This window comes from Homo sapiens, chromosome 2 (genome assembly GCF_000001405.40).
Source record: "Homo sapiens chromosome 2, GRCh38.p14 Primary Assembly".
In the NCBI taxonomy this organism is placed as follows: Eukaryota; Metazoa; Chordata; class Mammalia; order Primates; family Hominidae; genus Homo; species Homo sapiens.
Window position 1 is genome coordinate 109,062,659 of NC_000002.12, and position 16,992 is coordinate 109,079,650.

Genomic DNA, 16,992 nt, shown 5'->3' on the forward strand with positions numbered 1-16,992 from the left:
CAGCAGGCCTTACACCTCCTTCCGAACAGCGAATCCTCATGGACAGTGCCCTCTCTCGTGAGACAGAGCACAGTGCAAGACTGCTCTGGAGTCCTGGGGAAGAAAAATCCATTTGCTTTTGATCCCAGGGATGCTAGGATGGGGTGGGGGTGCTGGGATGGTGAGGGGGTGGAGGGATGTGTTGGGGGCCCTGGGAGCGGGTGGAGGTGAAGGGGGCTGGCAGGCTGTTGCCTCTGCCTGCCTCAGGGCGACCACCTGTGCAGACAGAGCTGGTGCCAACTGCAGGCAGCCCACCCACCCACGCTGACCCTGTGCCAGAAGAGCCAGGGCCTACGGCCTCAGGACAGGAGCCACCTCCTTGATGTCCCCTTTCTCCTTTCTTGGCAGCGCCTTCCTCGCCTTGTCCACCTGCTGGAGTGTGTGCCCCCCACCACCATGCCAACCTGAGACCCTCCCATGCCATTCCCCTAGGGTTGTGCAGACACATCCTCCCCCTCTGGCTTGTGCCTGTTGGGTCCCTGGGCTCTGAGTGAGACCTGGAGGTCTTCCAACTATGCTTGTATATCCCCGGGGGCTGGGAAGATGCTGGAGAGCCACCCACTCCTGGGGCTTTTGATCTTGCTTCAAATTACGGTGGAACCTTTGAGCATTTCCTGTTCCCTCCCTCACAAAATGCCCTGTGCCTGGGTTTTCTTTTCTCTCCTTCAGGAGCCCTGGGAGATCTCGACACAGTAGGGTCCACATCAGCAGCGCCTGGCTTTGCTGTGGCCTTTCCTTCAGCAGGCATGCAGCTTCAGAAACGAGCGCATGGAGGATGAATGCAGCAGAGGCCCCCGCGTGGCTGCAAGTCGGCCAGAAACACCTGCTGTCTGCTGCTCCACAGGCGCGACAGGGAACCGTCCCGGGGTTTCTTGCTCAATGGCTGTAGAACTGGCATTGGAACAAACAGCTCGAACTTCCCTGCAGGCACCTGGGTACACACACACAGGCACATACAAGAGATACAGATACCCATGCATGTGCACTACAAATTCCCAACTGATTTTCTTCCTTAAATGGAGATGTAATTTCTGACAAATCGTTATCTAGTTAGTGGCTTGAGTTAGGGCAGCCTGGCCAAAAGGGGTAACTGCAAGTAATAGAAAAAAAAAAAACAAAAAAACAACGTAGTGTCTTCTGCAAAGAGATTTTTTTCCCCTTCCCATAATACTAAATTGTGGCTTTGGTTTAGGGATTCGGCAATAATTGGTAGGTGTAATTCTTTTGGGCTTATTCTCATGATTGTTGCTTCATGGCTATAAAATGGCTGCCACAGGTCCAGCCATCATGTCCGTTTCATGTGAGTGGGTTGGATTCTAGGCGTGCTGCACTGAGCTTACACGAGAAGAGATACTATGAGTTCTAAAGTGCCAAGCACTGTGTTTATTGTCTGTATCTTTTTTAATCCTGTGATAACTCTGTAAGGTATGTACTAATGTTATTCCCATTTTAGACATGAAGAGACTGAGTCTTAGAACTGGTAAATGGCAGGCCGGGCGGGGTGGCTCACGCCTGTAATCCCAGCACTTTGGGATGCCGAGGTGGGCGGATCACAAGGTCAGGAGATCAAGACCACGGTGAAACCCCGTCTCTACTAAAAATACAAAAATTAGCCGGGCATGGTGTCGGGTGCCTGTAGTCCCAGCTACTCGGGAGGCTGAGGCAGAAGAATGGTATGAACCCGGGAGGCGGAGTTTGCAGTGAGCTGAGATCACGCCACTCCACTCCAGCCTGGGTGACAGAGCAAGACTCTGTCTCAAAAAAAAAAAAAAAACAAAAACAAACTGGTAAATGGCAGAGCTTTGATTTGCACCCAGTTCTCTCAGTGCAAAGTCTTTACCTTTAGATGTGACCTGAACCTTCACACAGTAGGGTGTTAAATGTGCTGTAATGGAAATGCAGAGAAAGTGCTACGGAAATTCGTTAAAAAGTGAAAGATTTCTTCTGTTTAAAAAGTGGATTTTTAAACAGATACATGGAGCCAAATGAAACTAATATTCTTTTCTGAGTAAAACCTTCTGGTGTGTTAGACATCCCTGTGGGTTGTATTTGATGGATAAATGCACCCACAGAACTAAGGTTATTGAAATGGGGGCCTCTGTTGATGTGCCTGGGGCTCTGTATTGATCCAGTCCTGTTTGACACTTTTTAATCAATAATTTTAAGAAAGACATAGACAAGATGCTTTAGAAATTATGGAAAGCACAAATCTGGGAGGGATAGCGCATGAGCTGGATAATGAAATAAAAATTTCACGAGATTTTGGCAGGCAGGAGCCTTGGGGTTTAAATAAATAAAATGGAATATCATAGGGATTCATTTAATGTCTAACACTTAGACTTGAAAAATGAACTTGAGACTTAGGTTCAGGAGTCCTGGCTTCTCATTAAGCCAATGAAAAGGCATAGCTGACCACAAAGCAAACTAGCAAATACTGTTGGCCCAGCTTCCAACAAAGCCAACATTAGGAGGCACTCTAGTTGAAGACTATATTCTTCATCAATGTGTGTTCTCTGAAGTCCCTGGTCCTGTAGCTCATGGTCAGCTAGAGGTTTGACTGAGATTTCCACAAATGCTGTATTTAAGTCATTAGTGCACTTTTTTTTGCTTGCTTGCTGTAAATCTTTGATTATTTCCCAGAGTTCCACAAAGTTGATTCTGACGGCTTTTGCTTATCTTTGTGTGCGTGTTTCTGTGGAGGACAGGTCCTTGGGGCTGCCGACTCTGCAGTTCTTGCTGGGCGTCACTCCCAACCCCGCAGCATCCTGTGTAGAATGGAGGAATCAGCCCTCGTTCAGCCCAGCCAGGACATTTCTGCTGGATCATGCGCAGCCCCAAGTGTCAGGGACTAACTGGAGGAGAGCAAGCTGGCAAAGGGTCAAACACTGGTGGCACTCAGCCTGGAAAGGAGGCGGTCCAGTGGAGAGATGTAGTGGCTGTTTAAAGATCGTGATGCTCTGACACCTGAGAGCTCCAGAGAGAAAAGTTAAGGATGCATGTAGGAAGTCTCAGAGATTCAAATTTGGACTCAATGTTAGGAAACCTTGTGCAAAGAGGGAAGAGCCTATCAGTGGAGTGCTGGCCTCCGCGTCTTACGAGCTGCTTGAGCTTCCTGTCATCTGCCTCAAATGCTGCCCAGCAATTCCTGCAGGCAGAGGCAACAAAGTGAGGTGATGTAGGCCCTTTCCATCCTAAGATACTATCATTTTTTTCCACTCTAGTCTTCAGCTTCTGTTGCCAGCTCTTGTGGATTTTTTTTGACAGAGTTTCACTCTTGTTGCCCAGGCTGGAGTGCAATGGCATGATCTTGGCTCACCGTAACCTCTGCCTCCCGGATTCAAGCAATTCTCCTGCCTCGGCCTCCCGAGTAGCTGGGATTACAGGCATGCGCCACCATGCCCGGCTAATTCTGTATTTTTTTTTTTTTCTGAGACATAGTATCGCTCTGTCCCCCAGGCTGGAGTGCAGTGGCGAAATCTTAGCTCACTGCAACCTCCGTCTCCTGGGTTCAAGCGATTCTCCTGCCTCAGCCTACTGAGTAGCTAGAATTACAGGTGTTTGCCACCACACCTGGCTAATTTTTGTATTTTTAGTAGATACGGGGTTTCACCATGTTGGCCAGGCTGGTCTTGAACTCCTGACCTCGTGATCTGCCCACCTCGGCCTCCCAAAGTGCTGGGATTATAGGCGTGAGCCACCGTGCTGGCCGTGGATTCTTTTTTTATAAAGGCATGCCCTCTCCATCCACACCTCGCCACGCAAACAGCGCTAACTGTTCCCCCACCAACTTGTCCCTCACCACACTCAGCAGTGTTGTGGGGGGTGCCCTCTAAACTCAAGTAGGAGTGAGGCTCCCTCCTACTGAAAGAAACGCAGTTGGTGTCCGCTGCCCACAGGTCAATTCCGATTCCATTTGCAACTGGCCCCAGCTGCCTTTCTAGACCCAGGGCCCTTGTGTCTGTCCCCTCCTGCATTGTCACTCAGTCCCCTGGGGAAGTAATCATGTTGCATGTAGCAGATGGCTTCACTGGGGGATGGCGGGGCAGGGGCGATGGGAGGCTGTGCCCAGGACTGCCTGAGTTACAGGAGGAGATTATGACAGAGCCGAGCGGTAAAGGAAGGAGGGGCCCCAGGGACAAAGGGAGAAGAGCAGCCCCAAAGGTTCCAAGAACCCCCCAGGAATAAGACTTCTCTGAGGCTGAGAGATGTCCAGGGTGCTCTGACAACAATATTATTTCCTTTCAACACGTTGATACTCCATTTTTTGTAAAGCGCACAAGACGCAGACAGAAAACCTAATGTTTTATCCCAGGGCATAGGCTTGGAATTTCTCGGCAGAACACAACATATAGCAGAGAGGCAAAATAAAAAGGAATACAGAAAGAAAGAAAAAAAAAAACAACCTGATGTTGCAAAGAAAGAACACAAAAGTCGAGGGTGAGGCCAGCCTGGGTCGGCTTGTTCAGCGAAGGACGCACAGTGAGGACGCAGGCCTAGTGAGGCCTGGTGACTTGAGGGCCCTGTTGTGCTTTCCTAGGGGAAGGCCACTGCAATAAGGATTAGAAAAAGTCAGCCAATTTTGTCCTGCTGTGTATAATTACCTCTCCATCTATTTATAAAGCCTTGAGGAATTCAAGCAATTATTCATCCTAAAAACACCGTGGGCAGTGACGCCTCCAAAGATAGCTACTGCATAATCTCTCCGCTGCTCTCTCGCAGCCCCGCCTGTGCTGTACTTTCACCATGGGGGAGGCAGCGGAGGTGCAGGGGCCATGCCACCATCCCAGGGTCTCGGGAGTTCTCCCAGCTCCAGGACTCGGGCAAGTCCCTCCACCGCTCTGCGTCTTGAAGTCTTCATCTGTAAGTGGGGATGTGACTGTGTCTGTCTCTCCTGGGTGTTGGGAAGGTCACACAGGTCTAGATCTATATGTAGTCACTAAGAAGAATATTTAGTAGATGTTGCCAGCTGACTGGAATCAACCCGGACTCTGCCCCTGCTCCCCAAACCACCCTCTCCTGGCCGCGCAATCCTTCAGGTGCTCAGGCTGATTCCTGGAGTCATCTTGGATTCATTTCTCCCTCTCACACCTCACATTTAGTCCACTAGCTAATGCTGTGGGCTCCAGCTTCAAAATGCACCTGCAAGCCACCCTGCCCCCTCCTCCATCACGACCACCCTGTTCTGACCCTGGCAATCCCAGCCCCTTCCTCCCTCAGCCACAGGGCTCCAGCTCCAGCTGCTGGGTGGAGGCTGGGCTTGCTGCTGCTCTGGGGACTTTGCTCTTTGCTGTTCCTTCTCCTGGAATGCACATCCCCACACACCTGCCTGCTCACATGCTCCCCTGTAAGGCTTGCTCCAAGGTCACCTCCTCAGTGAAGCTGCCCTGACTGCTGCCACCCACACCACCCCCTCACGGGGCTACCCCACTTCCCTGGATCATTTTTATCCATAGTGTGTATTCCCCTCTGACACACCATGTCGTTTACTTTTTCATCTTTTCGCGGAACTGTTCTTCCCTCTAGAATGGCGGTTCTCAACCATGGGCCATCTGTCAGTGTCTACAGACATTTGGAGTGATCCTAACTGGGGGTGGGGTGTTCTAGGCACCCAGTGGGCACAGGCAGGAGTGCACAGGATTAAGAACACCCACCCGAAGAACCCCCACCCCAGATGGCAACAGAGAAGAGGTTGAGAAACCCGCATCCAGACTGTAAGCCGTCTGAGGGCAAGGGCCCTGTCCCCTGTTTTGATCACTGCAACATCTCCAGCACCCAGAACAGGGCTTGACATCACGGATGCCCAGTAAGTGGGGAACGAACAGAGACTGGCACATACACAGCACTGGGGAAATGTTGGTCATTATTATCATTATTTCTCATGGGTTTGTATTGTTTCTGTGCCTCAGGTTTTCAGGAAAGTCTCTGCTTTTCCCCTGGGCAGTGCAACAGAGGGGAAGAGTGTTGGACTTGGAGTCAGAGACCCATGTCTGAGCCCCAGGTTGGCCATTATGAGCTGTGTAGCTCTGGGAAACTCACTTAACCTCTCTGAGGTTTTGTTTCCTCATTCGTTGAGTTGGAATACCATTTGTTTTCCTCCTCATCTGGCAAGCTGGTGAGATAAGCAAATATGATGATATGTCAAAATGCTTGTAAGTACTAAATACCTTCCAGCTATTGTCATTATGTGGTCCCTCCTGCAAAATGGAAAAACCAATTGATTTTACCATGGCTGACAATCTTATATCGGTTGTGAGGAGCTTATTATTCATAATTTCAGTGTGTTTCCATTTCTGCCCATATGGCACTCCTCCCTTAGACAGGTATCTTGAGACAAGAAAAGGAGCAGGTGGCCTTTAAAATACATTGCACATAACACATGCGTTTCACTGAACAGCTTTTTGCATTTAAAATGCAGACAATATGCTCAAAATAGTACTAATAAATTTTCTATCTTGAGTAATGTATCTCAGACATATACCAAGGGAAAATAATTAAAGAAAAACCCAATAAAATAGAGATCATAAAAAGGGGGGCTTATAAATCAAGAGAGTAGACTTCTAGCCATTCTCAATACAGCCTTTGAGTGCAAGGATCCCAGATGTTTGATTTGGACACATGGAATTTTGCAATAGGATAGTGTACTTCTTATGAATGAAACATCAAAAGGCATATGGTAGTAGATGCAATCATGTTGGCAGACGTGTGTCTTGGAGAGCAGAAATGGCCAACTGAATGCTTCCTTCCTCACTCGTGAAGCCATCAGGAGCAAAGCTCCAGGGAGTGCCTTCCGCCCTGCTGGCAATGAATGGCCTCTCCTGACAGATAGCCTAAGAGCCTTTGGCTAAAGATTTGCAACATCAAAGAGTGAGTGGCATGGCCTGGCCAGCCACCTGAGACAACGTACTTTGTTCCAGAACGTGGTTCAGAGTTTCACCTTGCTGGCTCAGTGGGGATTAAGGCTGAAAGAGGCTTTGAAAATGTTGATAACAGATGAATGTAAATATTATTTACCTAGCAACATAACACTTTTTTTCTTCTTTTTTGGCTCTTTCATGGAGTCATTACTCTTTCCCTTGAGTTGTCAGTTCCTTCATTTAGTCTATTCCTTCAACAATTATTGATCAAATCATTATTTGTGCTGGGCAGTGTTCTATGTCCCAGGAATTTTGTACTGTAAACCAGTACTCTGTCCTCATAACGCCTATAATCTAGAGACATTGAACTGTGAGCACAGGAATAAGCAGTGTACTTTCAGAATGTAATCAGTGTTCTCAAGGGAGGAGATTATGATGTAACAGAGCTTCTTTTCATCTCAAAGGAAGGCCATTAAGAAGGGCCAGTCAGGACAGGTGATGCTGGCAGGAAGGGAGCCAGCCTGCGACGTGCTGGGAAGACAGGCAGAGAGACTATACGTTCAAAGGGTGTGAGGCAGGCATGAGTTTGCAGAAAGTGTGCTAAGGGCCTGGAGCAGAGTGAGTGAGGGGGAACAAAGACAGGGAGGTGTTAAAGGGCCAGGAGGGGCTGGACCCTCTGGAGCATTGATGACTATGCTGTGGAATGAATTTGGATGTTGTTTAAGGGGAATGGGAAGTCATTGAAATATTTTAAGTAGAGAAATGGGATGCACTGATTTACCTTATGAAAAGAGTTCTCTAGCTGCTTTGAGAGAATGGATTATAGTGGGGTGATATAGTTTGGACGTTTGTCCTCTCCAAATCTCGTGTTGAAATGTGATGCTCAGTGTTGGAGGTGGGGTCTGGTGGGAGGTGATTGGGTCGTGGAGCAGATCCTTCATGAATGGCTGCTGACATCATCTTGGTGGTGAGTGAGTTCTCAGTCTGGTAGTTCACATGAGATCTGCCTGTTTTAAAGAGTATGGTGGCCAAGTGCCGTGGCTCACGCCTGTGATCCCAGCACTTTGGGAGGTAAAGGCAGGAGGATCACTTGAGCTCAGGAGTTCGACACTAGCCTGGGAAACAGGGTGAAACCCATCTCTACTAAAAATAGAAATATTAGGCGGGTGTGATGGTGCGCTGCCTATAGTCCCAGCTACCGGGGAGGCTGAGGTGGGAGGATCACTTGAGCCCAGGAGGCAGAGGTTGCAGTGAGCCAAGATTGTGCCACTGCACTCCAGCCTGGGCAACAAAGCCAGACCCTATCTAAAAAAAAAAAAAAAAAATAGAGTGCGGCACCCCTCCCTTCCCACTGTTGCTCCCTCTCTCGCCATGTGGGGCACGGGCTGCTCCTTCATCTTCCACCATTATTGTGAGCTTCCTGAGGCCTCACCAGGAGCAGATGTGAGCAAATTAAACCTCTTTTCTTTATAAATTACCCATATTTAGGTATTTATTTATAGCTACTACAAGGGGGAAAGGGAGAGCAGGGAGATCAGTGGTGCTTTCACACTAGTACAGCAATAGAGCAGCATCTTGGACCAGGGTGGTGGCTGAGGAGACAGGATCATGGCTTTGAGATACATTCTGAAGAAGAAAAGTAGGCCTTGCTGATAGAATAGTCACAAACTGTAATGGAAAAGGTAAATTCAAGGATGTCTCCTGGGTTTTTGGCTTAAGCATCTGGATACAGAGATATGGAAGACTGGGAGGGAAATGGGTTTGGAGTATACATGCATGCAATCAACAATTCTGTCTTGCATGTGTGAAATTTAGATACCCATTAGACATCTGCATAGAGGGCCAGGCACAGTGGCTCACGGCAGTAATCCCAACACTTTGGGAGGCCAAGGTGGGCGGATCACTTGAGGTTAGGAGTTCAAGACCAGCCTGGCCAACATGGTGAAACTCTGTCTCTACTAAAAATACAAAAATTATCTGGGTGTGGTGGTGTGCACCTGTAATCCCAGCTACTCAGGAGGCTGAGGCATGAGAATCACTTGAACCTGGGAGGTAGAGGTTGCAGCGAGCCAAGATCACACCACTGCACTCTAGCAAGGGTGACAAAGCAAGACTCTATCTCAAAAAAAAAAAGACATTTATGTAGAGATGTTAGGTTGGCAGTTGGATAACAGTCTTGAGTTTCGGGGTGAGGGCAGGACCAGAAATGAAGATTTGGGATTCATTAGCATGTAGATCATATTCAGAGCCACAATAATAGATGAAATAACTGAGGAAGAGAGCTAGAGGGGCCAAGAGCAAACACAGGAACATGCCAGCATTTAGAGGACAATGGAGAAGGAGGAGATGGCAGAGATGTCAATAGGAGGAAAAGCAAAAGGGTGTTATCATAGAAGGTGACAACAGAATATATCACAAAGAGGAATATGTTTGAATGTGTCAAATGTTGTTATCACAGGCTATAGAAGTAAACACAAAGTCTTATGGGAATACTGAGGATGAGCTGCCTCTAGTGTGTGTGAAACCCTGGCCAAATATTTGTTGTGGGGCCCCTGTCTATATATGCAATGTTATTTAAAAACATACTACATATTCTTGGGCTTATGTGGGATGTAGTGATTTATTGATGAAGACTTAGAATACTGGGTAGGAAGAGATGCTTTTGGATTTGTTTATGAGCCAGTGAGTGTATCTGAGGATTCTTTATCCTGTGTCTAATGTGAGTGTGTTTTCCTGAATCAGTGCATCAGTGCTATTCTGGAGGCCCAAATCACACATGATTCCGTGAAAGAAACTCTGTGCTGGCCAGAGGATGCACTCACTCTCCAGGCTTTCCTGCATGGGCCCTCACCATGGAGTCCTGGATACTTAGGGCATCTGGTTGACCACATGCTTGGGAGAGCACCAAAGAAGGTCCTGGTTTTCAAGCCTCCAGCTTCTCCTTAGAAAGAGTTGACTACCTGTCTGGGCTCCAACTTTTCTGGCTGCTACCAGAGGGTCTGGCCTCTAAACCATCTGTGTCAAAGAACTGACAGGGCCTGACATTCACTGGGACCCTAGGCTAGGGGTGACAGAGAGCAAAGCAAAAGTTTGAAAGAGTATGCAGTCTGAATGAGCATGCAGACCTTTGCCACAGCTCCCCTTCCCAGCTCAGTGCAGAGCAAGTAGGAGATAAACTTCTGCTCTTAGCTTCTCTGTGAGGAGAGATGAAATGGACCACACATCTAGCACCCCAACTTTTCTGACAACTACTAGAAGGACTGACTCCTGACTCACCTGTCTCAGGGCACTGATGGTACTTGGCACACTCTAGTCTCCTGGGGCCACCAAGAACAAGAACAGCATTTTGGACAAACACACTGGTTTGAGAGGCACCCAGACTCTCTGACTGGGCTGTGAGGAGGCTCATCTGTGAAGACTGAGGGAGGTGGCTGTTTTATCAAATGTGCAGAAACCAACACAGAGAGTCAAAGACAATGAACAAACAGGAAATATGCCATAAATAAAAGAACAAGATAAATCTTCAGAAACTGACCCAAACAGAATGGAGATATGTGATTTACCAGACAAAAAATCAAAAGACCTGTCACAAAGATGCTCAGTGAGGTCAGGAGAGCAATGCATGAATAAAGTGAGAATTTCAACCAAAAAGGTAGAAAATATTAAAAAGTGCCAAACAGAAATCACGGAGCTGAAGAATATAATAAAAGAACAGAAAAATTTAATAGAGGGGTTCAATAGCAGACTAGGTGAACTGAAAGAAAGGATTAGTGAACTCAAGGACTGGTCATTGGCAATCATTCAGTCACAGCATTAAAAAGAAAAAAGAATGAAGGGCCAGGCACAGTGGCTCACACCTGTAATCCCAACACTTTGGGAGGCTGAGGTGGGTGGATCACGAGGTCAGGAGATCGAGACCATCCTGGCTAACATGGTGAAACCCCATCTCTACTAAAAATACAAAAAAATTAGCTGGGTGTGGTGGCACGCACCTGTAATCCCAGCTACTCGGGAGGCTGAGGCAGGAGGATTACTTGAACCTGGGAGGCTGAGGTTGCAGTGAGCTGAGATTGCGCCACTGCACTCAGGCCTGGGCAACAGAGCGAGACTCTGTCTCAAAAGAAAAAAAAAGAGAGAGAGAAGAAAAGAAAAAAGAATGAAAAACAGTGAAGATACCTTTAAAAACTAATGAACACCACCCAGCAGATCTACATATGCATTATGAGACACTCAGACATTATGATATCAGTAACACAGAATGTGGAATAAGGAGAGGTAAAATTGCAGAGTACTTCTATAGAAGTGTTATCAGTTTAACCTGTTATAAATATATGTTATGTAAGCCCCTGGTAACCACAAAGAAACTACCTATAGAAATGACACAAAAGAAAAAAAGTTACAAAGCCTATCAATGCAAAACAGCACAACAAAAACAGGCAAACAAAACCCAACAATAAAACACAAAGGAAGACAGCAAGAGAGAAAAAGAGGGACAAAAGAACTACAAGACAAACAGAAAACAGTTTTAAAAAAATGGCAATATGGTGGTTCATACCTGTAATCCCAACACTTAGGAAGGCCGAGACGAGCAGATCACTTGAGGTCAGGAGTTTGAGACCAACCTGGCCAACATAGTGAAACCTGGTCTCTACTAGAAATACACAAAATTTAGCCAGGTGTAGTGGCAGGAGCCTGTAATCCAGCTACTCGGGAGGCTGAAGCACAAGAATTGCTTGAACCTGGGAGGCAGAGGTTGCAGTGAACTGAGATTGTACCACTGCACTCCAGCCTGGACAACAGAGCAAGACTCTGTCTCAAAAAAAAAAGGCAATACTAAATCTTGCCCTATCAATAATTACTTAAAATGGCTGAATGTGGCGGCTTATGCCTGTAATCCCAGCACTCTGGGAGGCCAAGGCAGGTAGATCACTTGAGACCAGGAGTTCAAGACCAGCCTGGCCAACATGATGAAGCCCCATCTCTACTAAAAAATACAAAAATTAGCAGGGTGTGGTGGCATGTGCCTGTAATCCCAGCTACTTGGGAGGCTGAGGCAGAGAATAGCTTGAACCTGGGAAGTGGAGGCAGCAGTGAGCCAAGATCACACCGCTAGACTCCAGGCTGGGCAACAGAGCAAGACTGCATCTCAAATAATAATAATAATAATAGTAATAATTACTTAAAATGTAAATGGATTGGCCAGGTTCATGCCTGTAATCTCAGCACTTTGGGAGGCTGAGTCAGGAGGATCACGAGGTCAGGAGTTCAAGACCAGCCTGGCCAACATGGTGAAACCCCATCTCTACTAAAAATACAAAAATTAGCTGGGCATGGTGGTGGGCACCTGTAGCCCCAGCTACTAGGGAGGCTGAGGCAGGAGAATTGCTTAACCGGGATCCGGGAGGTGGAGATTGTAGTGAGCCGAGATCACACCACTGCACTCCAGCCTGGGTGACAGAGCGAGTCTCCATCTCAAAAAAAAAAAAAAAAAAAAAAAAGAAGAAGAAGAAAGAAAGATCTCAAGTAAATTGAGCTAATGTCGTACCTTAAGGAACTAGAAAAGGAACAAACTAAGCCCAAAGTTAGCAGAAGAAAAGAAATTACAAAGATCAGAGCAGAAATAAGTAGGGAATAGAAAAGCAATAGAAAAACCCCGCAAAATCAGAGGTTGTTTGTTTGTTTGTTTGTTTGAGATGAAGTCTCATTCTTGTCCCACAGGCTGGAGTGCAATGGCACAATCTCGGCTCACTGCAACCACTGCCTACCGGGTTCAAGCAATTCTCCTGCCTCAGCCCCCCGAGTAGCTAGGATTACAGGCACCTGCCACCACGCCCAGCTAATTTTTGTATTTTTAAGTAGAGACGGGGTTTCACCATGTTGGCCAGGCTGGTCTCGAACTGCTGACCTCAGGTGATCTGCCCGCCTTGGCCTCCCAAAGTGCTGGGATTATAGGCATGAGCCACCGTGCCTGGCCCAGAGTTGTTTTCTTTAAAAAAGGTAAATAAAATCAACATGCCCTTAGACAAACAAAAAAAAAAAAAAAAAGGAAGAATGGATTCAAATAAATGAAATAAAAAATGAGAGAAGACATTACAATGGATATCTGAGAAATAAAAAGGATCATAAAAGACCATTATGAACAATTATATGCCAACATATTGGATAAAGTAGAAGAAATGGATAAATTCCTAGAAGCATGCAACCTACCAAGACTTAATCAAGAAGCAACAGAAAACCTTAACAGATGAGTTACAAATAAGGAGATTGAGGCATTAATCAAAGACCTCCCAAAAAAGAAAAATCGATGGCTTTCATGGATTCAAAGAATTATTAATACTTCTTAAACTCTTCTAAAAATAGAAAAAGAGGAAACACTTCCAAACTCATTTTATGAGGTCAGCATTACCCTGATATCAGAACCAAAGAAACCACAAGAAAAGAAAACCACATGCCAATATCTCTGATGAACATAGATGCAAAAATCCTCAATAAAATATTAGCAAAGCGAATTCATTAGCACACTAAAAAGTTTATACATTGTGACTAAAGTGGGATTTATCCCTGGGATGCAGGTTTGGTTCAATATAGGCAAATAAGTCAATGTAATGCACCACATTAACAGAATGAAAGATTAAAAAAAAATGACCATCTCAATAGATGCAGAAAATATTTGAAAAAAATCAATATCCATTTATGACAAAAACTCTAAACAAAATATGTATGGAAGGAACTTACCTTAATCCAATAAAGACCAATTAGGAAAAGTCTATAACTAACATCATAATAATTGAAGAAAAATTAAAAGCTTTTCCTTTCTTGGTCTCACCATGTCTATTCAACACAGTACTAGAAGTTCTAGCCAGATAAATTAGATAGGAAAAAGAAATAAAAAATATCCAACTTAAACAAGGAAAATTGTCTGTTTCTGGGTGACATGGTCCTACATGTAGAAAATCCTAATAATTCCATTTAAAAATCAGATCTGATAAGTTTAGTAAATTTTTAAGATACAAAATCAATATACAAAAATTAATAGCATTTCCTTATACCAACATTGAAATATCTAAAAAGGAAATCAAGGAACAATCTCATTTACAATAGCATAAAAATATTTAGAAATAAATTTAACCAAGGAGGTGAAAAAGAATTTGTACACTGAAAATTATAAAACACTAATGAAAAAAATTGAAGAAGACACAAAGAAATGGAACGATATCTCATCTTAATTAATTGGAAGAATTAATATTGTGTAAACACTTATACTGCCCAAAGTGACCTACATGTTGAATGCAATCCCTATCAAAATTCTAAGGGCATTTTTCTCAGAAATAGGAAAACAATTCTGAAATTTATATGGTACCACAAAAGATCCTGAATAGCTAAGGCAATCTGGAGAAAGAAGAAGAAAGTTAGAGTCATTGCACTCCCTGATTTCAAATGATACTGCAAAGCCATACTAATCAAAACTCAATGGTATTGGCATAAAAACAGACACAGAAACCAATGGAACAAAATAGCCCCAAAATAAGCTCACGAAAATATGGCTAACTAATTTTCAACAAGGACCCCAAGAATACACAATGGGGAAAGATAGTCTAAATAAATGGTTTTGGAAAAACTGGATATCCACATGCAAAAGAATAAAAGTAGGACTTTATCTCACACCATATACAAAAGTCAGCTCAAAATGGATTAAAAACTTAAATGTAAGACCTTAAACCATAAAACTCCTACACGGAAACATAGAGAAAAATCTCCTTGAAGAAGATTCAAGGATGAATGTTTTTTGATAAAGATTTTTATGATGATCTGCTTCCACTTAATGAATAAAGTCCACTTAATGTCTTGGCAATGATTTTTTTGGATATAACACCAAATGCACAAGCAACAAATGCAAAAATAAACAAGTGGGACTAGATTAAACTAGAAGCTTCTGCACAGGAAAGGAATGAATCAATGAAATGAAAAAGCAACCAACAGAATGGGAGAAAATACAACCCATATATCTGATAAGGGTGTTAGTATACAAAATATATTAGGTACACATATAACTCTATAGCAAAAGATGAATAACCTGATTAAAAATGGGCAAAGGACTTGAATAGATAGTTTTCGAAAGAGGACATACATACAAATGTCCAATAGGTATATGAAAAAGTACCCAACATCACTATCATCAGGGAAATGCAAATCAAAACTAGAATGAGATTTCATCTCACATCTGTTAGGGTGGCTATTGTCAAAAACATGAGATAACAAGTGTTGGTGAGGATGTGGAGAAAAGAGAACTCTTATACACTGTTCATGGGAATGCAAATTGGCGTACCTATTATGGAAAACAGTATAGAGATCCCTTAAAAAATAAAAAATAAAACTATCATATGATTCAGCAATGTCTCTTCTGGGTATATATCCAAAGGAAATGAACTCAGTATCTTGAAGAGATATTTGCACTCTCATGTTCACTGCAGCATTACTCATAATAGCCAAGATATGGAAACAACCTAACTGTCCATTGACAGATGAATATATATATATATATATATATATATATATATATATATATAGCGTGTATATATATATAGCGTGTATATATATAGCATGTATATATATATAGCGTGTATATATATAGCATATATATATAGCGTATATATATAGCGTATATATATATAGCGTGTATATATATATATAGCGTGTATATATATATATATAGCGCGTATATATATATATATATATATATATATATATAGCGTGTATATATATATGCAGTGGAGTATTATTCAGCCTTAAAAAAGAAGGAAGTTATGCCATTTGCAACAACGTGGGACATTATGCTAAGTGAAAAAGCCAGACACAAAAAGCAAATATCATATGATCTCACTTGTTTGTAGAGTCAATAAAAGATGAATACATAGAAGCAGAGAGTAGAATAATGGTTACCAGGGACAGGGGTGAGGTGAGGTGGGATGGGGGTAATTGTGGTGATGTTGGTCAAAGGATATGAAGCTTCAGTTATGTAGGGTGGATAAGTTCTAGGGGTCTAAGGTAAAGCATGAGGACTATGGTTAACAATACCCATGGCATATTTAAAATTTGCTAAGAGAGCAGATCCTAAGTATTCTCACCACACACAAAAAGGTGACCATGTGGGCCGGGCGCGTTGGTGCGCGCCTGTAATCCCAGCACTTTGGGAGGCCAAGGCGGGCAGATCACGAGGTCAGGAGATCGAGACCATTCTGGCTAACATGGTGAAACCCCATTTCAACTAAAAATACAAAAAAAAAAAAAAAATAGCCGGGTGTGGTGGCACACACCCGTAGTCCCAGCTACTTGGGAGGCTGGGGCAGGAGAATGGCATGAACCCGGGAGGCGGAGCTTGCAGTGAGCCGAGATCGCACAATTGCTTTCCAGCCTGGGCAACGGAGCGAGACTCTGTTTCAAAAAAAAAGGTGACCATGTGAAGGGATGGATATGTTAAGTAGCTTGACTGGTAATCGGTTCACGATGTATATGTACAGTTGACCCTTGAACAACATGCGTTTAAATTACAAGAGTCCACTTATATGGGGATTTTCTTCTGCCTCTGCCAGCAAGGCCAACCCCTCCTCCTCCTCCTCCTCCCCCTCAACTAAAGACGAGGAGGATGAGGACCTTTAGGGTGATCCACTTCCACTTAATGAATAGTAAATACGGTTTCTCTTCCTTATGATTTTCTTAATATTTTCTTTTCCCTAACTTACTTTGTTGTAAGAATGCAGTACTCAATACACGTAAGATACAAAATTTGTATGAATTGACTGTTTGTGTTATCTGCAAGGCTTCCTGTCAACACTAGGGTATTAATAGTTAAGTTTTGGGGGAGTCAAAAGTTATTTGTGGATTTTTTACTGTTCGGGGAGTTGGTGCCCCTAACCCCTTCGTTGTTAAAGAGTCAACTGTATATCAAAACATCGTGCTGTATACCTTAAATGTATATACTTTCAATTAAAATATTTTAAAAACAAACCAATAAAAAGGCACTGCTTCTGGCCCAGGGTGAGCCATCAGATGGCACAGCTGGCCCTGTCCGGTCCCAACCAGCAGAGGGGACTGTCAATTG

The 16,992-nt window shown here is 44.2% G+C and overlaps 1 protein-coding gene across 1 annotated transcript in view, besides 1 other annotated feature; it reads left to right on the forward strand.

The window, feature by feature from the left end:
• Positions 1 to 16,992, forward strand: part of RANBP2 (RAN binding protein 2) — a 1,122,820-nt gene that overhangs the window by 343,177 nt on the left and 762,651 nt on the right. The gene's annotated exons all lie outside the window — the stretch shown is intronic.
• Positions 6,612 to 7,556: an enhancer, noted in NCBI's record as "OCT4-NANOG-H3K27ac hESC enhancer chr2:109685726-109686670 (GRCh37/hg19 assembly coordinates)". NCBI's record gives its function as "activates a minimal SCP1, AML or CMV promoter by ChIP-STARR-seq in naive H9 embryonic stem cells {active_cell/tissue: H9 hESC(naive)}" and the evidence as "EXISTENCE:reporter gene assay evidence [ECO:0000049][PMID:30033119]".